General features: G+C 39.3%; 1 protein-coding gene and 1 pseudogene across 3 annotated transcripts, besides 1 other annotated feature; one reads left to right on the plus strand and one right to left on the minus strand.

Moving 5' to 3' along the window:
- ATP5MC3 (ATP synthase membrane subunit c locus 3) lies at positions 5,926–11,378 on the minus strand. Of its 3 annotated transcripts, NM_001689.5 has the most exons (5): positions 11,324–11,378; positions 11,023–11,134; positions 9,766–9,846; positions 8,725–8,918; positions 5,926–8,070 (listed from the first exon to the last, which is right to left on the minus strand). In NM_001689.5, the coding sequence occupies exons 2-5, from the start codon at positions 11,059–11,061 to the stop codon at positions 7,956–7,958; spliced, it is 429 nt and encodes a 142-aa protein (NP_001680.1). In that variant the 5' UTR covers positions 11,062–11,134; positions 11,324–11,378; the 3' UTR covers positions 5,926–7,955. The 3 variants fall into 3 exon arrangements, with proteins under 3 accessions (NP_001680.1, NP_001177258.1, NP_001002258.1); NM_001190329.2 differs by having other exon boundaries at positions 5,926–8,918; NM_001002258.5 differs by having other exon boundaries at positions 11,023–11,378.
- Positions 11,462–11,581: an enhancer, noted in NCBI's record as "active region_16787". NCBI's record gives its function as "activates an Ori minimal core promoter by ATAC-STARR-seq in GM12878 lymphoblastoid cells {active_cell/tissue: GM12878}" and the evidence as "EXISTENCE:reporter gene assay evidence [ECO:0000049][PMID:35858748]".
- RPS15AP14 (ribosomal protein S15a pseudogene 14) lies at positions 13,853–14,323 on the plus strand (annotated as a pseudogene).

A 22,592-nucleotide genomic window follows, 5' to 3' on the forward strand; every position in this document is an offset into this window, starting at 1 on the left:
AAATGTTAATAAATATCACAAGAAACAATGATGGTCTCTAAGTGCCCTCAAAATCTTACAAATGCCACACAATGTGGTATTTCCACCTTAGTATGATAGGGCTGCTAATCCATAATCTGTTAAAACTGCTCACAAAAATTCTAAAACGTGTGTGTGTGTGTGTGTGTATGTATGTATGTATATATATGTGTATATATGTGTGTGTGTGTGTGTGTGTGTGTATATATATATCTGTTCTCACGCTGCTAATAAAGATATACCCGAGACTGGGTAATTTATAAAGGAAAGAGGTTTAATTGATTCACAGTTCAGCATGGCTGGGGAGGCTTCAGGAAACTCACAATCATGGCGGAAGGGGAAGCAAACATGTCCTTCTTCACATGAATGAGTGCCCAGCAAAAGGAGAAGCCCATTATAAAACCATCAGATCTCTGAGAACTAACTCACTATCATGAGAACAGGATGGGGAAACCACCCCAATGATTCAATTATCTCCACCTGGTCCCTCCCATGACATGTGGGGATTATGGGAACTACACTTCAAGATGAGATTTGGGGTGGGGACACAGCCAAACCATATCTCTCTCCATCTTCCCTTTCAACTTCCTCTCCTTCTCTCTCTCACTAATAATTGATTTTCAGAACATAGTTTCTGTTTGTCTGCAGCTAACCAAAACATAGAAGACTACAGGGCACCCCTTATGTCTACTTGGTACAACTAATCCTAGGCTTAGGGAAAGAGCCTCTACATTTTCATGATATTCTCAGGATGCAGCCCAGTACAGTGGATTAGCTGGGATTTTATCAGTGGGATCAAGGTAGGGGTGTGTGTGGTGTGTGTGTGTGTGTGTGAGATGTGAAAGGGGTGGGAGACGCAGGACATGATTACCCCACTGATATCTGAGAAATGAAATAGGATAATGTGGCCCTAGACGTTGTACAGACATTTTGGTAGCTTCTATCTCATGGCAGATCTTTTCCTCTCTCTGCCAGCTCAGGGTCTTCCTGCACATTGCTGAAATGGCCTATGTTAAAGTTACCTCTCAGCACTTGTCCTCATCATGGACATTTTAAGTGCAGGGATGTCTACCCTCCAACCCAAATCTTGGGTTTCCCAAAAGAATTTATAATTAATGGGGTGTGGCATTATGGGGAAAAAGGGCTATGTTTATCTTCACATCATACCAGTTAGCTTATACTACCTTCAACAAAACCAGCCCAGAGAGAGGGAGAATGGAATTTAAGGGCCTTGTTTTCATTCTTGATGCTAATGCCACCTCTCTCTCTCATCTGACTCACCAGAAAGAGGGATTGCCATCATTATATTCTTTTTATACAATATTATTAATAAAAATAGGATCACTCCTACCTTTCATAGCTTCCCATAACTAGTCTATTTGTCAACCTGAGGCCCACGTAACACCAAAGCCATGTGATCTGTATCCTAGAAATCAAGGGAGGTCTGTCAGCATATGGATCCTCCTGGGTCCTTAGACTACCATCCTGCTCGTTTCAGTTACCTTCTTACCTTGGATACAGCCTCATAGGTCAACTATGGCCAATGAGGTCAAGCATCAACCTAATGCTCTCCTTACTCATAAAGCATCTATATTAATTGAGCATGAACATTCCAGGCACTGTTTCTGGCTCTGAGGTGACAACTATAAATAAGACAAAGTTTTTTCAGGAGACTCTTGTGGTTGGGTGCAGGGGCAGGGGGAGACATGCTACATATATAAACAAGATAATTTAAATTGTGGTAAGTACTATGGAGAAAATAAAGCCGGGGTGTAATAACATACAATATTAGAACTTGCTTTTTAAATACAACTTTAGAGAACTTGAAAGTAACAGACACTTTAGATAGCACTAGAGTGGTCGGAGAATTCTGTGAGTTGTCCTTAAGATACAACTCTTGAGGGAAAAATACTGCGATGTCTGGCAGCTGAGAGACTCAGCCAACCTGTGTAGCTATTTGAGGAAGCAAAGCCTGGGATGCAATTATAAGAGGAGATCCTGGAGTCTCCATGGCTGGGAAGTGCTGACTAAAAGCTGTTGTTGAAGCGCCACTGACAACAATCATGGGTCCTCAGGAGTCTCTGCCATAATAAGTTGTAGGATGCTAGCTCATGCTAATGGGAGGAACAACCAAAAGCTCTTGGATTTATGAGTCTCTATTGGTCTTAGGTACTCTCTTTACTTCCTCTCTCCAATATTTAAGCTCCCTTGAGAAAGAAGATCGAAGTCACTAAATGTCTCAGAGGAGACACATTACTTTTGTCAATTCAGGAGAAAGAAGTGCAAATTCTTGCCAGGAACCTGAACCAGTTTTTAGGGAAATAATATTTTTTTGCCCTTAATAATGTAAAGAATTGGGCAAGTAACTGATGGACCATGTATTTGGGTGTTAAGTCCATAACACTGTCAGTAGAATTATAATATGAAATAACTACGTTGATATGCTCAGCATGTAGAGGAATCAACAACTCATTTATAATTTCCTATGTAGAAATCACAAAATATTTTAAAAGGCTTTGCACGTAGGACCATAACAATACAATTTTTTCCTCTTCCAAGTACCCAACACCCAAACCAAACCATATTCACTAAATTTGTCTAACAGAACTTAAAATTTACAGCAGAAGCACAAGTAGTTTATTTGGTTCTCAAATGTTATTTCCCATTTATCTACAATCCTGCCTTAAAATTAACAGCATTTACATTTATTTCTACCCAACTTCAATCACTCAGCAACTTGACCTCAAATTTTGATCATTCCTCGAGCCTACCTTATTTCCAAGATCTTGAACTCTGAAATTCTTTAAATTTCTTGTGTATTTTTTGGTTCTTATTGAAATGGCTTTTCAACATTAGTGAAACCTCTGAGCTCTTGACCCCTCTGTTATTTCAATTTATCACCTTTATTGTGTCTTCCCTTGTTCCTTACCCAGTTTGAAATGCATAGGTCATTTTGTTGAACAGTGCGCTTGTTTGCTGTCTGCCTAGAGCCACTTTGACCTTCCATCATCTCTTCTTCCCAGTGCACAACCCTGATAACCCTCACTGCTCTTTACATCAGTTTGTATTAGCAAGCTTCCCAACATTGCTGGAGAGTCACAAAACTAGGTGAATGATGTTCACTACCAATTTGTTACCTGTGTGGAGCTGGGTCCCTACTGCTGCTCTGCACTTCTCTTATGCACATCTAGTCTGTGCTGTACATACCTTTCTTCTCTTTTCAAGCCCAGATCTGTAAAATTATACCTCTTGTATTTAAAATTATATAAAAAACAAAGTTCATCATTTCCCCAAATCAGGTTTTTCCTTGTCATTGCTAACAGTCATATTAAAAAAAAAAAATCAGAGCATGGGCTTTAAGGAAGATCTGAATTTGGATCCTGACTTTGCCACTTAATAGCTATGTAATTTTGGGAACTGTTTAACCTCTGAGCCTATTTTCCTTTGCATCTTGGAAATTATTCCCAAGTTTACAGAGTTGTTATGAGGGTTAAATAACAGTATAGCTAGCACTTACTAGATGCACACACCCTCTCTTCTCCTAACTGGTTCCTGAGATCTAGGCATTAAATCCTACTGATACTACCTTTGCACTCTTTTTAAAATATAGTGGATCCTTGAATAAGGTTAGGGGTTCAGGGCATTGATTCCCCCCACCAGCCTCCCATGCAATAAAAAAATTTGCATATAGCTTTTGACTTCCTCCAAACTTAACTACTAACAGCCTACTGTTGACCAGAAGCCTTACTGATTACATAGTTGATAAACAAATTTTGTACTCTATATACATTACATACTGTATTCTTACAATAAAGGTGGAGAAAAGAAAATGTTAAGAAAATCCTAAGAGAAAATACATTTCTAGTACTATATCAATATCATTAAGTTTACAAGTTTACACCATCTGTTTACAAGATGAACTGTCTGTCTGAAATGGTGACAACTGCAGCTGCGGACGTCTTCTACCTATGGTGCATATCAAGCCATTCAACTTCTTGCAATGTCATGACTTCGCATCGTGGGACCGCTTCTAGCATCACTACTAGTACTTTGTATAGGTTCCATGGTGTTATTCAAGGTTTATAATATTGCACTAACTCAGTGAAAAATATGCAAGAAATGGCCGGGCACGGTGGCTCACGCCTGTAGTCCTAGCACTTTGGGAGGCTGCGGCAGGGTCACCTGAGGTAAGGAGTTCGAGATCAGCCTGGCCAACATGGTGAAACCCCATCTCTACTAAAAATACAAAAATTAGCTGGGTGTGGTGGCAGGTGCCTGTAATCCCAACTACTCAGGAGGCTGAGGCAGGAGAATCGCTTGAACCCGGGAGGTGGAAGTTGGCAGTGAGCCGCCATTGCATTCCAGCCTGGGAGACGAGAGAGACTTCATCTCAAAAAAAAAAAAAAAAAAAAAAAAAAAGGCAAGAACTGCGAAAGATCACTTTTTTTGTGATACACAATTTACTGGAGATGAACTGCCCCATGAAGATGATGAGCATCACAGCATTTTAAGTGGATACTCATAACACTTAAGCTCACTACAATAGCAACAGGAGGTGGCCACTAAATTATTACAGTAGTACAGTATGTTCTTCAGTTAATTTTATGCAGCTATGATTTACTCCATCTCTACGTTTATATTTCTCAACTGTAAATGGTACCATGTAGTCTATGTGCATGTTTTGATAAATTTGTTTTTGTAATAGATTTATGTATATTTTATGGCAGTAAAGTAGACCAGTATCTACATATTTTATGCATTCATACCATTTTCTTAATTTTCTCAATTATTTTTAGGCTACATGGTTTGTCTGAGAGTTTTTTCAATTTGTTACAAACCTCAAAAAACTTTCCAACATATTGAAAAAAATCTGTGTATAAGTGGACCTGCACAGTTCAAACCCATGTTGTTCAGGGGGTCAACTGTCTTCACTGCCACCATCCTAGACTAGACCTTCATTACATTTCAGCAAAGCTACTATAGTATGAACTGCTGTTCATTGCTGGCTCCAGTCCATCTCACATACTGGTCTCCTATCAACCTTTCTAAAATACAGCTCTAAACTTTGAATGACTGACAGTATCACATGAATAAAAGTCACAATCTTATACCTGCCTGTTTACATAAAATGGCCCCAGTCTTCCTTTACAGCCTTATCTCACACCATTTCTGTTTCATACTCAGGGAACTCCTTGTTTCTCATGTACCAATGCTGTGCTCATTTACTTTTCCTCATGCCGTTCACTAGCCAAAATGCCCTCTTCTGGTCTGTCCTTGTGACACGGTTCTTTAAGGTTTGTCTTAAGTTACAAATAGTACTTTTTCATGTAATTCTTCAACTATAAAATTATTTCTACTCCCTCTGAACACCTGAACACTTACTGCCACTCATTTAATTCACCATTTTACCAACACCATCTTATCAACATGGAAAATCCATTTCATGTTTGACAGAAAAATAGTACCTTTATCAGCTTCTGTTCAGAAACGAAGATGTCAGTAAAAAGCATTTAGCACTAATATTTGTTTGCAAAGCTCGTAAGCTGAGGCAGTACTTCCTATAAAAATGGTGTACAATAAACATTTCTGCTAGTAGATGCATTCCAGTGATGTACTTGCAATGTCATAACTTTGTTACTAGAAACAAAAGTTAAGTAAAAGGATGTATACTCAAGGATGTTAAACTTGTGATGCACTATTACCTTTCCCCTCTATAAAGTTTGAGTCATTGTGTGTGGTTTTTTGTTGTATTGTTTTCTCAGTAGCCTGAAGACTATGCAGCCACAGTTCAGTTAGTCCATTTTCATTCTGGGAGATTCCCTCAGCTGGGACATCTCTTACAAGAAACCTGTTCCCAAATCAACGTTTCAAGCCTTTTCAACCACCAAAACCAGCACCAAGAACAGGTCTTTACCAAGACTGTTTTTATTTAAAATATACTTGGAATAGGTGAATATTAATCTAAGCATTTTCCTATCACTTTTAAAATTTTATACTATGTACTTTGTATTAAATAGTAGTTTCAGTAAGACATGTAAAATTTGCCATTTTAACCACCTTAAAGTGTACAATTCAGTGACATTTATTATATTTACAATGTTGTGCAACCATCACCACTAATTCATCAAATTTTAATAATCTTTTAATTTTTGAGCCAGATTTAGCAGTGAGGGGCTATATACCAACTTTAATGACACTAATGTTAATAAGTTCTGATAACCCACTACCATCAGACCAGCTGTAATTCATCCAATTTTCATCATCCTAAAAGGAATCCCCATACGCATTACGCAGTCACTCCCTTTTCACCCCCTCCCTAGTTCCTGATAACTACTAATTGGCTTTGTCACCGTGGATTTGCCTATTTTGGATATTTCATATAAATGGAATCATGTGGCTGGCTTCTTCCACTTAGCATGCTTTCTTAGGGTTCACTCACATCTATTCATTATGTATCAGTGCCTCATTCCTTTTCATGGCTGAATATTCCATTATATGGATGTATTTTACTTATCCATTCATCAGCTGATAGACATTTGGTTGTTTCTACCTTTCGGCTATTGTAAGTAGTGCTTCTATGAATACTTGTATACAGGTTTTTGTTTGAATACCTATTTCCAATTCTTTTGGGTGATATAGACTAGATGATGAATCAACTAAAAACGAGGTAGCAGCTCTACCTCTTTAGCTTTTTGGGGCCTCATTTCACTTTACAGAAGGTAGGATATATATATAACTTAGTGACTCTCAAACAGTATGCACAAAAACCACCTGGGAAGCCTTTTTAAAGATGTAGATTGCTGAGTCTCATGTCCAAAGAGTCCAATTCAGTAGGTCTGGAACCTAGGGATTTTTATTTTTTAAACAAGCACTGATTCTGATGGAGGTGGTCTTCCGACACTTGAGGAACTTTGGTGACTGCTCTTTCTCAATGGAAATCAAACAGGCAAAGGGCACTAAGAAAAGTAAAATGTCACTTTCCTAATTATCAACTTTCAAAAAACCCTGAAACTTGGATGATAGATATTATGGTACAATATATTTGCTAGGGGAAAAACTGTCTATAGTAGCACCATCTTCTTCCTTTGAATGGGAAAAGTTTGACCAAGAAGCAACATAAAGTATTAGCAGCAAAATACTGTTGAACCAGCTATCATCCCCAAGACTCCCACTATAAACATGTTAGCAACAGTGATACACACTGCCTTACAGCAATTTTTGGCTGTAAAAATCTAGCCAATTCAGTTTTTTGATATTTGGTTTTTAATAGTCTTGTTCAAGTAAGAAACTAGCTGCTAGTTGGACTGAGCCTGTTCTGAAAAGACATGGAAGATTCATTAGAGGCACACAATTGCTTAATGTGAGACTTACTGAAAAACAAAAGTCACATTACCCCCTAGCTTAAGGCTTCATTTCCTAAAAAGCTGACGTGATTTATTTTTAGAACCACCTGTCAAGTCAGTCTTGGAAGGTGATTCTGATTTGAAGTATTCTAACTGATGTTAGACCTTAAAAACTCAAGACCATCTTGAGTATTAACTACCTTTAATTAATCATATTTTATAGAAGCTCAAAACACCCAAATATTTATCCTTTATATGAATAAACAAAAGCCCTATGAATTACAATATGCAGAACACTATATAAAAGAATTCCCATAAAAATTACATTGGAATATTTTTCATCAGTGGAGCAACTGCTGTAGCTTCCTCTGAATGGGACAGCATCTGCCTGAATGCACGTTCTTCTTTGTGATAATCTAAACTTAGTGTAAGTACAAATCACAGAAGAAATTAAAGTTTTCATCTTTAATGAAATGACTTTGGAAATAACGTACATTCCCATGACACCAATACTACAGTTTTCGGAGTCACAGTAAGATACACAGAATTACATCCGTAATTAATATGAATGCCAACATGTCAAGCAGTAATTTGTTACATGGCAAACAAAATCAAGAAAGCAACCATCAAACAAAAGAGACCCATAGCTTCAGACAAGGCAAATCCCAGGATAGCATATGAGAACAGCTGCTGCTTCAGCGAAGGGTTTCTAAAAGAGACCACATATGACTGTTACTTTGAAATATTAATTTCAACATGTTTGGTAAATGTTAAAGAATCAGATTACTAGTGTGGGGATTTTTGTAAACTGAAAAGTCTGCTGGAAGAGTATTTGCCTAGATCTCTCTTACACTATTCTCCTTCAATCCTGATAATATGGTGTAAAGGTAGGGAGCTGTCTGTCAATATAAATGGTTAGTTTTCATTCATTTTGATGGGTTCTGACATTCTTATCCATCTGAAAATATGATCTATACCTTTTAAGATCTGACAGTTTAGGTCTTAAATAAAATAAATTGATCCTTTTAAGGAATGTGCTCTAATAATTTTATTCCCAAAATAGCTTAACAATTAGGAATGCAGACTCTGAAGTCAGACTTAGTTAAAATTCATTTTCTGACATTTACTAGCTATGACCTGGGCAAGTAATGTGGCCTCTGTGTCTCTAGTCCTTCATAGATGTTATTCTCATAACACCCCAAATGGTGTTATGAGAATTAAGTGAGATAATGCATACAAAGCCCTTTAAATATAATGCAAGACACAGAGTAAGCACTTAATGCAAAGTAGCTATTATTTCAGTAGCTAAGTTTCCAACTACTGCAAGCATGCTCTTAACTTATTTAGGGATAGAAATGATTACCTGGCATAACCAATGATAAGGCTGCCAAAGACTGTTCCAATACCAGCACCAGAACCAGCCACTCCTACTGTTGCAGCACCTGCACCAATAAATTTGGCAGCAGTATCAATGTCTCTGCTGATTGCACTGGTCTGAAACTCCCTTTGGATTAGCTGAGACACACCATTCTGGGCCCCATTAAATACCGTAGAGCCCTGGAAAACAGAAAATAAAGGTAAAGGTCGTATCAGTAACCACAGGTAGCTATTTTAATTAAATACCATATTGTCAAAATGATAACTACTTTTTTATTTTGTAGCTGAGTGTAAAGAGACAAATCAAGAGCTTAGAATAATCTCACTCTTGTGTAACAGGGATAACAATATCTACATCTTAAAAGGGTGTTGAAAATTAAGAAACAACATATATAAATATGCTTTTAAATAAAGTAGGGTTTTTTGTTTTGTTTTTTCTTAAAAGAGACAAGGTCTCACCTGGTCTGTCACCCAGGCTGGAGTGCAGTACAGTGTGGTGTGATCATAGCTCACTATAGCCTTGAACTCCTGGGCTCAAGCCAGCTCCCCACCTCAGCCTCCTGAGTAGCTAACACTACAGGTGACCACCAGGCTGGGCTAATTTTTAAATGTTTTGTAGAAACAGGATCTTACTATGTGGCCCAGGCTGATCTTGAACTCCTGGGGTCAAGCAATCCTCCCTCCTTGGCCTCCCACAGTGCTAGGAACACAGGTGTGAGCCACCGCATCCAGTCCAATAGAGTACATTTTTCAATAACTGTAGCTATTATAATTTTAAATATAGGCAACTTAAATCAATAGACTTGAATATAAATACTTGGCCAAGTTTTGGATAGAGAAATTTCTCTATTCGTCTCATCTAGTTTTTTGGCTATTTTTGGCTATTTGGCTCATCTAGTTTTTTGGATAAAAGGGTGGGAAAGACTTGCCCTCAAACTCTTATTAATAAAGTTTTTTTCCTTCACTCTAATCAAAACCCTACCCTTATTTGGTAGTGTTACCTAATTTCAATTATTGCTACTATTACCTCTCCAGTCCTACTAGCCTCTGGTCGAGATAACACTGATGCAGAAATTGGTCTGTATGCAACTCTGGATCCAGCTCGGATCTATTAATGAAAAAAAAATAAAGATTTCAATATTAAGAAAGAATACAGGTAAGACTTCAATGACTTTTCTGGTACCATGAATTCTAAAAAAGCAAGCAGTAAAAATGAATCAGAAACTTCTGAATTGACTCTTTGCTGTTTGGTCATTTTTAATACATAAGCAATTTTAATAAAGTTTCATGCTAATGAAATTGTAACGCTTGCTACCTTGAATAAAATTTCTAATAACAGTTACAAAGAGAGTAAGAACTGCTTTTGACATTTCCATTATTGTAGTGCCGTAAGTCAAGTCAGAAAAAAGCAATAAATACCACACGTTCTTTGGCAATTTTAAGTGGACCAACAAGTATATTAGGAGCGTCACAATAAACATTTATCATTCAAAATAGCCCAGCAGTTAATAGCCCTGACCATTTCAAAGCTATTTCTATATGACCATTAATCATAAAAAAAAATTTCTAAAAAAGGAACTTAAGCAATTCTACATCAGTTTAAGAATAATCTGTGAAATATCTGACCATAAGGACATATTCCAGTCCAACTTCTCTGCCCTTGAGTGTCCACTAAATTAAGGTCACAGAAAAACCCTTCCGAACCAAAACCTGATTCTCTAAGACAAATCCTCCAGATCTAGACCTCACTTTAAGCCTGCAAAATTGTTATGAAAATAATACTCCAGAGGCAGGAAGAAAGACTTTGGGCTCGTTCCCCCACCACCTTCCTCCGCCCCCACACGGAAAGGCAAAGTCCCTCCCTCTGCAGCAACGAGTTTGACCTACAGACAGGCACTGGAAAGCGCTGCTGAGGTGAACTAGGCCTCAACGGCCCCCTACATCCTCTGCAGTACTCCAACCTTCGCGTCGACCCCAATCCAACAGAGAGGCTGAGAGAAGGTGGGGGAAAGGGCCACTCCTGGTCTAGGGACCAGAGAGTTTGACCTACACCGAGTGAGGCCTGACAGCTAGGCCTCGGCTGCTCTGCCTCGCCCTAGTGGCAAGGAGAGGGCTGAGATGCCCTAAGATTAGGAAGAAAACGGCAATGGGTTAATAGGTAAGGAGAAAGCCGTTCCCGAGAGGGCGGTGTGCCCCGCCCGAAGGTTGCCCCATTCAACAACGTGGACGCTCTAGGCCAAAACGCCCACCCCTCAATCCCCCCGACCCTGCCTGGGCTACGCACCAGAGAGGGGGTGCAGGCGAGCTTGGCGCAGGCGAACATCTTACACTCTTCGGGACTGCGCGGCTGGAGATATTGGGTGACAGGCGACGTGGGCTCCTCTCCCGCTTCCTCTCTGCGGAGGAAAAGAGGCTTAAGGTCAAGTGCCCTCCAGGGGCCTGTTCTTCCCACCCAGGCCCCGCAGGCTCCCGTGCACGCCGTCAGCTTGGGCCCCGTGCCCAGTGAGGCGCCGGCACAATGAATGGGTCCCTACTGGGCGCCGCTCCGCCCTGGCCAGGCCGGGCTCCCTGTGCCCTCCACTTACCTTCCCAGGAGGCGGCGGCGGCACGGGCTGCGGCAGAGGTCGAAGGAGTGGGACTCAATGCGCAAGCGCGGTCCGGCTCTTATTCGCGCCGCAGCACCCGGATGAAGAAGGCGGGGTTTCGGGTGCACCAAGGAAGACACTCAAGGTCACTTTGTAACAACTTTATTGGCAACTAGCCGGGAAGGACAACGACAACCACCTGGTGATGGGGCAAGAGGGAGACAAAAAGAAAAACTGTAGATTCACCCCGGCAGAGAGGACTAAACAGATTAACTTTTGATATGAGTTGGCTGCAGGATAGTGGGCCTTTTTCTTCACGTTGGCACCTTGTAAGATTTGGCCTTTTATCAGTTGCTGCTTCTCTGTAGTAGAAGTTGACTTGCTGGTCATTCTCTTCCTCTGTGAAATAGGACTGTGGCTGGCGGGAGGAAAGAAGGGTCATTCACTACTTAACAGGAAACTAGGGTCCCCAGCAAAGCGAAGATATTTATTTCAAGGAACCTGGAAAATGGTTCCAGAAGTATGGCTAATCCTTCAGGTGAAAGAGGGCCTGACCTAGAAGTACTGGTGGAGCCATAAGCAAATGAGTAGATCTAAGAGCTTTGTCATCTGGGGCACAAAATTGCCTCTGGGTAAAGTGAGGGTGCTCGACTTTTCTTCTAGCTCTAAGATTGGAAGATTTAAGGGATTGTATTTCATGTAGGGTTTGAGACTAAAAAAAGTCTTAAAAAAAGTCTGAGTATTCTCAGAACGTACTCAATTTTAACACCTGTTTTTGTTAAGTTTGGACAAATTATCTTCTTCAGAGGGATGCAGAAATATCTCAGAAAAATGGCTCTGACTGAACTTCTGGTCTTTTTAGATCCTTGAATTATGTAAATTTAATTTAGTAATTCTAACAAATGGCTAATGGAAGTGATATCAACACGTCAACATAAAAGATTAAACATCTAGAATGCCCTGCTAAGAAGATGGCTGGGGACTGAACTCCAGCCCACTCTGCCTAGAGCCCTAGCATGAGACAACATCAACCCAGAGGATCAGCTTTTTACTTGTTAGCTTAAAGGTGCAATATTATCTAGCAGCAACGCTGGTTGCTGCTAGTTCTGGGAGAAGCCCTCAGAACTAACACTTGAAAAATGAATAAGACTTTGTCACTAATCCAACTTCAAATGGATCAAATGATTCAAAATTACAAAAATACTAATCATTTTAGGCTCAATCTTTAGCTGGAAAATAGAGATAATTCACGTGTACTGTTCAACAAGCAATTATTCATATAGTTTCTCAAGTACTCAATTCTAACCAAGAACATGGTGTCCTGTGGTGTCTACAGTAGAATAAACAGTAAAGCCTTGTACTTCAATAATAGATCCTCCAGGGGAAAAAATTATTCTAAGTGGATTTATGTGTAGAGATGGTTTTAAGTGATGTTCCTATCTCTTTAGCACTAAATCAGTGGCAGTAACTATTGAGGAGGAAGCAAGAAAGAAGCCAAGATCCACAGTGGCTGCTTCCAAGTTGCATATGGACTAGTTGCTTGTGGCAGGGAGAGACATGGGTTCCGAAATCCAGTCTGTTCTTTGGAGGGGCCTGACCATGGCTGTGACTCCACGGTGCTATTCTAGATAGATTAATTCAGACTTTGCTTGGTTTTGCATCCTAAGATTGCGTTATAGAAAGAGGAGAATGAAGGCCAGGCACGGTGGTTCACGCCTGTAATCCCGGCACTTGGGAGGCCAAGGCGGGCGGATCACAAGGCCAGGAGATGGAGACCATCCTGGCTAACACGGTGAAACCCCGTCTTTTTACTAAAAATACAAAAAATTAGCCAAGCGTTGTGGCAGGTGCCTGTAGTCCCAGCTACTCAGGAGGCTAAGTCAGGAGAATGGCGTGAACCTGGGAGTCAGAGGTTGCCGTGAGCCAAGATCACGCCACTGCACTCCAGCCTGGGTGACAGAGCGAGACTCCATCTCAAAAAAACAAAAACAAAAAAAAAAAGAAAAGAAAAAGAGGAGTGAATTGGAGTAACACCAACCCATGTTGATGTTGATTGAGGGTGGATATTTGCACTGAGGAAGATTGAAGAAAAAGAGTACCTTCTGAGAGGACTAAAGTGAGGCCATAAAGATGAACAGGGACCTCCCTGAGAAGTATCTAATCTTTTCTGTGTTTTTTCATGGACAGTGGGGACAGTCATAGTAAGTTATGACATCATAATTTGGCAATATCTGATAAGACCGGGTGATGATGATAGCCTGAGTGATGATGGCATGATGAAGATAGAAATCCGATAGCAAAGAGAAGTATGACAGATCACTCCCAAATATAGCCCTCTCCAGAAACCACTTGGATAGAAAAAAGTCCAAAGAGAACTGAGGTGTCCAACACATGAGTGAGGCCTTCTTGGATCTCTAGCTCTCGTCAAGCCTTCCCAACACCACGAGGAACAAAAATGAGCCATCCAAATGAGCTTTACCCAAATTCCTGACCCACGGTGTCAAGAGCAATGAAAGGGTTGTCGTTTGGCTCTTTCCGCCATCTTTTCGTGCCGCCACAATGGTGCACATGAATGTCCTGCCTGATGCTCTCAAGAGCATCAACAATGCCGAAAGAAGAGGCAAACCCCAGGTTCTTATTAGGCTGTGCTCCAAAATCATCATCTGGTTTCTCACTGTAATGGTGAAGTATGGTTACATTGGCAAATTTGAATCACTGATGATTACAGAGCTGGGAAAAATTGTTGTGAACCTCACAGGTAGGCTAAACAAGCGTTGAGTAATCAGCCCCAGATTTGATGTGCAACTCAAACATCTGGAAAAATGGCAGAATAATCTGCTTCTATCCGGCCGGTTTGGTTTTATTGTACTAACAACCTCAGCTGGTATCATGGACCATGAAGAAGCAAGAAGAAAACACACAGGAGGTAAAATCCTGGGATTCTTTTTTTAGAGATGTAATACATATTTACAAATAAAATGCCTCATGGACTCTGGTGCTAAAAGAAAAAAAAGAAACTTTGTCATTTGAAGCTATTAAGTTTTAGGGTTGTTTATTATGAAGTGCTAATATCTATTTAGTAATACATAACTAAAACAGGAAACATTGTCTGCTAAATATTCACTACTTCTTTGAGATCTACGTGGAGGTAGCAGCATCTCTTTTTTTTGAGACAAGGTCTTGCTCTGTCATCCAGACTGGAGTGCAGTGTTGCGACTATAGCTCACTGCAGCTTTGACCTCCTGGGCTTAAGCAATCCTCCCATCTCAGCCTTCTGAGTAGCTGGGACTACAGGCATGCACCACCACACCTGCTAATTTTTAAATTTTTTATAGAGCCACAGTCTCCCTGTGTTGCCCAGGCTGGTCTCCAACTCCTAGGCTTAAACGATCCATCTCAGCCTCCCAAAGAGCTGGGATTACAGGAACGAGCCACCACATCCATCTGGTAGCAGCATCTTAAAATGGGGAATTTCAGTTTAAAATTCCAAGTGTAGCTCATAGCAAACCAGATAGAAAGAAGCCCAGGTCTTGGTTACTAACTCCCTTTCCTTGAAGTATTGAGGTGGAGTAGGATTGTCATCATTAACTTTAGTAAGGTAATTCTAACTGACCACATGGAAAGATATTTAAATTATCTACTTTTGAACATTTTAGGCCAGGCATGCTCACTCAGGCCTGTAATACCCGCACTTTGGGAGGTCAAGGTGGGTGGATCACTTGAGTTTAGGAGTTTGAGACCAGCCTGGCAACATAGCAAAACCCCATCTCTACAAAAAATACAAAAATTAGCTGGGCATGATGGTGTACACCTGTAGTCCCAGCTACTTGGCAGGCTGGGGCAGGAGGATCCCTTGAGCCTGGGAGGTGGAGGTTGCAGTGAGACAAGATTATACCACTGTACTCCAGACTGGGTGATGTAAATGAAACCCTGTCTTAAAAATTTTTTTTTTAAATGTTAATAGCCTGCAAAAGTTTCACCAGCCTTCTCATGCTGGTGTGAGAAAAAAAAATTGTTGAAATGAAAATCAGAAATATAAGTTTAAAATATTCTGGGGTCTGTTATTATATTTAGTTTTTCTTATAAAAGCTTTTGTGTCTTATTATTGGCTTTAATTTGTTATCAATTTCTCTTTGAAAAAAAAACCTCTGAACCTGCACTAGTTTTACAGGACATTCAATTGAGGTTAGCTCAAATAAATACTATGCCCTTTCTTTGAACATTGTGAGGACACAGGGAAAAGGTAAGAGTTTGCAATATAATTGGGGCATATGAGAAATTGGACTGACTTATATAAAAAATTAGAGAAAAATACAAATTAGTACACATTTCAGGACAAAGTTGTGTGATGCACTAAGGGAAATCGCATTAGAAAAGAGATTGTCCTGGTCAGAAAGTAGCTTACTGAAGAGAAACTTGAGCTAGGACTTGAAAGATGGCATGATTTGGATAGAAAAAATTTCTAGGTATCTCTTAAATAGATCCTAACACTCCCAGATCTATCAACTGCCTACACTGCTAATCAATTTCTAGTGTAGAAAATTTTGTGCTTAAATTTCATTTTTGACTGTTCTACAAATTATTTAACCACTTTAATGACATCTAGTATACTGGACTAGAATATTTACTAAATGGGCCACAAATAATTTAGTAAGAAACAAAAAGTAAATGTATGTCTCCATGTCCTCTTTAGGTCTAGGCTAAACTTTATAAAAGAGTTACATGAAAACAATGTCATAATAAAATAAATGTTATTCTGTCCTTCTTTTCTGGTAAGATATGCTAGTTATTGAGGATAAAACAATTGTATGTCATAGTGTATAATTAATATAAAAGACTACTTACATGAAAAGAAAATGAACAAGTATGTGGAAATGAAATCAAATCCCTCTGCTAATTCTTGCCCATCTCAAATGTAAGTAATTTCCTAATTTTTCAATTTGTGGCAGACACAGCTACTTGCCTATCCAATATCCATTCTCTCCTTTTTTTCTTACTTACAGAGATCTGTCCCCAGTTAAAAAAATGCTGAGCTTCTCAGATTCTCTTATGATTAGGAATGGTCAATGACATGTGAGTTGAAGTTACTCCATGAAGCCCCTAAGAATGTGCAGAAAAGGGATTGATTCAAATGGATCATTCTTTCTTTTCCATTACCTTTTTTTTTTCCTTCCTGGAATACAGATCTAATGTCTAGATGGGAGGCAGCAATATTGCAACTACAAGAACAAAAGTCACACGTTAAGGATAGAGAATCTGGAAAGTAGGAACCTGAATTTTTCACTTTTTTTTTTGGAGTATCAGCCCTTAATTGCCTATTTATGGAGTTCATGTCACATGAAAAAAATAAATCTCTGTTTGGTTAAGTCACTGAGGTCAGTTTCTGTTATATTCAGCTAAACACAACCCTAACTAGCAGATAATTTTATAGACTTACGTCTCTGAAGATCTTTGGCCTTTGGGCTGTGTTTACAGCTGAAGTGACCATTCTCCCCCCAAATTTACATTAACTTACATCTGTCTTTTCTTCCTTATTTGATGGTATGTCTGCTAGGGACCAATCAGGAGACAAAAAACATACCTGTAATTTGAATAGGGAAAATTTAACATAAAAAAAACATTAACCAGTGAAAGATGCCTAAAAGGAGTAGAGTGGACTCTAAGGGGTCTAGTAGTAGTCCTGTAGGCACAGCTACTAACCTTGGCTGAAAAAGAATGTACAACAAGAAAGAAGCTGAGAAATTTAGAGGGGAGTGTGTGGCTGCCACAGGAATGTGCAGTCCACCTATGCTGAAGAAACTTGCTGGAGGCATAGGCTGTAACTGAACTGTGAGGACTGTAGAGGTGAATACTACCAGGCCCCGCCTGCAAACCAATCCACTGGCTCCACACAAAAAAGTCTACCAGAAGAAGAATGTCAAGTTCTTTCCTCCTGCTTTGGCCTCCTAGTGTCTCCCCATCACCCTCTATTGGCAGAACCTATAATTTTACCATTGCCAAAGCAGAAATGCTTACAGGGTCCAGCTCCAGAATAACAAAGCAAGGGAAAAAAGGGTGGATTTCTAGCTGAGAAGTCATAAGTTAATAACTAGCACAGATAGTAAGATTCTCAAGGGCAGGGATTATGTCTAAGGCATGCTGTGTCCTTCACAGCACCTAACAGAGTGTTAAACATAGTAGTCACTCAATAAATGTTTGCTCAATAATAAATAGTATGTATGAAATAATTGGCAATAATTTTATTATTTTTTATTTTTAATTTATGTGGGTACACAGTAGGTGTATATATTTACGGGGTACATGAGATATTTTGGAACAGGCATGCAATGTGTAATAATCACATCATGGGGTATTGGCTACCCATCCCCTCAAGCATTTATCTTTTGTTTTACAAAGAATCCTATTATACCCATTTACTGATTTTATTTTATTTTTATTTTATTTATTTATTTATTTTTGAGATGGAGTCTCGCTCTGTCACCAGGCTGGAGTGCAGTGGCACAATTTCGGCTCACTGCACCCTCTGCCTCCCAGGTGCAAGCGATTCTCCTGCCTCAGCCTCCTGAGTAGGTGGGACTACAGGCGCGTGCCACCACGCCTGGCTAATTTTTTATATTTTTAGTACAGATGGGGTTTCACTGTGTTAACCAAGATGGTCTTGATCTCCTGACCTCAGGGGATCAGCCTGCTTCAGCCTCCCAAAGTGCTGGGATTACAGGCATGAGCCACCACGCCCGGCCCGTTTACCTATTTAAAAATGTACAATTAAATTATTATTGACTGTAGTCACCATGTTGTACTATTAAATACTAGGTCTTATTCATTCTTTTTAGTTTTTATTTTTTGTACCCATTAACCATCCCCCCTTCTCTCCTACCCCCACCCGACACTACCCTTCCTGTCCTCTGGTAACCATCCTTCCATTCTCTATCTCCATGAGTTCAATTGTTTTGATTTTTTTATTCCACAGGTAAGTGAGAACAAGTGATGTTTATCCTTTTGTTCCTGGCTTATTTCATTTGACATAATGTCCTCCAGTTCCATCCATGTTGTTGCAAATATCAGAATCTCATTTTTTGTTATGGCTGAATAGTACTTCATTGTGTGTAAGTACCACATTTTCTTCATCTATTCATCTATTGATGGTCACTTAGAGGCCACTTCCAAATTTTGGCTGTTGTGTGAACAGTGCTGCAGTAAACATGGGAGTGTATATATATCTTTGACATGCTGAGTTCCTTTCTTGTGGGTATATATCCAGCAGTTTGCTGGATCGTATGGTGGCTCTATTTTTAGTTTTTTGAGGAACCTTTAAACAGTTCTCCATAATGGTTGTACTAATTTACATTCCCACCAGCAGTGTACAAGGGTTCCCTTTTCTTCACATCCTTGCCAGCATTTTTTATTGCTCTTTTTTTGGATAAAAGCCATTTTAACTGGGGTGAGATGATATCTCATTGCAGTTTTGATTTGCATGTCTCTGATGACCAGTGATGTTTAGCACTTTTTTATATACCTGTTTGTCATTTGTATATCTTCTTTTGAGAAATGTCTATTCAAATCTTTGGCCCATTTTAAAATCAGATTATTATATATTTTTTCCTATAAAGTTGTCTGACTTCCTTATATATTCTGGTTATTAATCTCTTGTCAGATGGGTAGTTTGCAAATATTTTCTCCCATTCTGTGGGTTGTCTCTCCATTTTGATTGTTTCCTTTGCTGTGCAGAAGCTTTTTAACTTGATGTGATTCTGTTTGTCCACTTTTGCTTTGGTTGCCTGTGCTTGTGGGGTATTACTCAAGAAATTTTTGCCTGGACTAATGCCCTGGAGAGTTTTCCCAGTATTTTCTTGTAGTAGTTTCATAGTTTGACATCTTAGATTTAAGTCTTTAATCCATTTTGATTTGATTTTTATGTAAGGCAAGAGATAGGGCTCAATTTCAGTCTTCTTCATATGGATATCCAGGTTTCCCAGCACCATAATTATTCTTCTCTTTTAGCTAAGGTATGTGTCTCTTGAGAAAAATTAGGATGACCTCTAGTATTTCTTCTGAATATTGCAAAAATTTAAAGCAGTGTGTAGAGGGAAATTTATAGCACTAAATGCCCACAAGAGAAAGCAGGAAACATCTAAAATTGACACCCTAACATCACATTAAAATAACTAGAGAAGCAAGAGCAAACACATTCAAAAGCTAGCAGAAGGCAAGAAATAACTAAGATCAGAGCAGAACTGAAAGAGACAGAGACACAAAAAAACCCTTCAAAAAAATCAGTGAATCCAGGAGCTGGTTTTTTGAAAAGATCAACAAAATTAATAGACCACTAACAAGACTAATAAAGAAGAAAAGAGAAGAATCAAATAGACGCAATAAAAAATGATAAAGGGGATATCACCACCAATCCCACAGAAATACAAACTACCAGAGAATACTATAAACACCTCTAGGCAAATAAACTAGAAAATCTAGAAGAAATGGATAAATTCCTCGACACATACACCCTCCCCAGACTAAACCAGGAAGAAGTTGAATCTCTGAATAGACCAATAACAGGAGCTGAAATTGAGGCAATAATTAATAGCCTACTAACCAAAAAAAGTCCAAGGCCAGATGGATTCACAGCCAAATTCCACCAGAGGTACAAAGAGGAGCTGGTACCATTCCTTCTGAAACTATTTCAATCAATAGAAAAAGAGGGAATCCTCCCTAACTCATTTTATGAGGCCAGCATCATCCTGATACCAAAGCCTGGCAGAGACACAACAAAAAAGGAGAATTTTAGACCAATATCCCTGATGAACATCAATGCAAAAGCCCTCAATAAAATACTGGCAAACCGAATCCAGCAGCACATCAAAAAGCTTATCCACCATGATCAAGTTGGCTTCATACCTGGGATGCAAAGCTGGTTCAACATACGCAAATCAATAAACGTAATCCATCATATAAATAGAACCAAAGACAAAAAACACATGATTATCTCAATAGATGCAGAAAAGGCCTTTGAGAAAATTCAACAGCCCTTCATGCTAAAAAGTCTGAATAAACTAGGTATTGATGGGATGCATTTCAAAATAATAAGAGCTATTTATGACAAACCCACAGCCAATATCATACTGAATGAGCAAAAACTAGAAGCATTCCCTCTGAAAACTGGCACAAGACAGGGATGCCCTCTCTGACCACTCCTATTCAACATAGTGTTGGAAGTTCTGGCCAGGGCAATCAGGCAGGAGAAAGAAATAAAGAGTATTCAATTAGGAAAAGAGGAAGTCAAATTGTCCCTGTTTGCAGATGATATGATTGTGTATTTAGAAAACCCCATCATCTCAGCCCAAAATCTCCTTAAGCTGATAAGCAACTTCAGCAAAGTCTCAGGATACAAAATCAGTGTGCAAAAATCATAAGTCTTCCTATACACCAATAACAGACAAACAGAGAGCCAAATCATGAATGAGCTCCCATTCACAATTGCTTCAAAGAGAATAAAATACCTAGGAATCCAACTTACAAGGGATGTGAAGGACCTCTTCAAGGAGAACTACAAACCACTGCTCAATGAAATAAAAGAGGACACAAACAAATGGAAGAACATTCCATGCTCATGGATAGGAAGAATCAATATCATGAAAATGGCCATACTGCCCAAGGTAAGTTATAGATTCAATGCCATCCCTATCAAGCTACCAATGAGTTTCTTCACAGAACTGGAAAAAACTACTTTAAATTTCATATGGAACCAAAAAAGAGCCCATATTGCCAAGACAATCCTAAGCCAAAAGAACAAAGCTGGAGGCATCACAATACCTGATGTCAAACTATACTACAAGGCTACAGTAACCAAAACAGCATGGCACTGTTACCACAACAGAGATATAGACCAATGAAACAGAAGGGAGCCCTCAGAAATAATACCATACATCTACAACCATCTGATCTTTGACAAACCTGACAAAATAAGAAATGGGGAAAGGATTCCCTATTTAATAAATGGTGCTGGGAAAACTGGCTAGCCATATGTAGAAAGCTGAAACTGGATCCCTTCCTTATGCCTTATACAAAACTTAATTCAAGATGGATTAAAGACTTAAATGTTAGTCCTAAAACCATAAAAACCCTAGAAGAAAACCTAGGCAGTACCATTCAGGACATAGGGATGGGCAAGGACTTCATGTCTAAAACACCAAAATCAATGGCAACAAAAGCCAAAAAGGACAAATGGGATCTAATTAAACTAAAGAGTTTCTGCACAGCAAAAGAAACCACCATCAGAGTGAACAGGCAACCTACAGAATGGGAGAAAATTTTTACAATCTACCCATCTGACAAAGGGCTAATATCCAGAATCTAAAAAGAACTTAAATTTACAATAAAAAAATCAAACAACCCCATCAAAAAGTGGGCAAAGGATGTGAACAGACACTTCTCAAAAGAAGACATTTATGCAGCCAACAGACACATGAAAAAATGCTCATCATCACTGGCCATCAGAGAAATGCAAATCAAAACCACAATGAGATACCATCTCACACCAGTTAGAATGGTGATCATTAAAAAGTCAGGAAACAACAGGTGCTGGAGAGGATGTGGAGAAATAGAAACAGTTTTACACTGTTGGTGGGACTGTAAACTAGTTCAACCATTGTGGAAGTCAGTGTGGCGATTCCTCAAGGATCTAGAACTAGAAATACCATTTGACCCAGCCATCTCATTACTGGGTGTATCCTCAAAGGATTATAAATCATGCTGCTATAAAGACGCATGCACACATATGTTTATTGCGGCACTATTCACAATAGCAAAGACTTGGAACCAACCCGAATGTCTATCAATGATAGACTAGATTAAGAAAATATGGCACATATACACCATGGAATACTATGCATGCATAAAAAAGGATGAGTTCATGTCCTTTGTAGGGACATGGATGAAGCTGGAAACCATCATTCTCAGCAACCAATCACAAGGACAGAAAACCAAACACTGCATGTTCTCACTTATAGGTGGGAATTGAACAATGAGAACACTTGGACACAGGGTGGGGAACATCACACACCGGGGCCTGTCGTGGGCTGGCGGGAGGGAGGAGGGATAGCATTAGGAGATATATCTAATGTAAATGATGAGTTAATGGGTGCAGCACACCAACATGACACATGTATACATATGTAACAAACCTGCACACTGATCACATGTACCCTAGAACTTAAAGTATAATTAAAAAAAATAGTTCCTTCATGATCCTAAATATAAAATAAATTATGTA

The sequence above is a fragment of the Homo sapiens genome, chromosome 2, assembly GCF_000001405.40.
Source record: "Homo sapiens chromosome 2, GRCh38.p14 Primary Assembly".
In the NCBI taxonomy this organism is placed as follows: domain Eukaryota; kingdom Metazoa; phylum Chordata; class Mammalia; order Primates; family Hominidae; genus Homo; species Homo sapiens.

What these genes read in the sequence shown, in the direction of transcription:
- ATP5MC3 (NM_001689.5), bottom strand. Translation starts at nt 11,061, where the DNA reads ATGTTCGCCTGCGCCAAGCTCGCCTGCACCCCCTCTCTG. An exon ending in AGGCTAGTAGGACTGGAGAG is followed by an intron (nt 8,919 to 9,765) that starts GTAATAGTAGCA and finishes TCTGTTTTCCAG; the next exon opens with GGCTCTACGGTATTTAATGG. An exon ending in CTTATCATTGGTTATGCCAG is followed by an intron (nt 8,071 to 8,724) that starts GTAATCATTTCT and finishes GGTCTCTTTTAG; the next exon opens with AAACCCTTCGCTGAAGCAGC.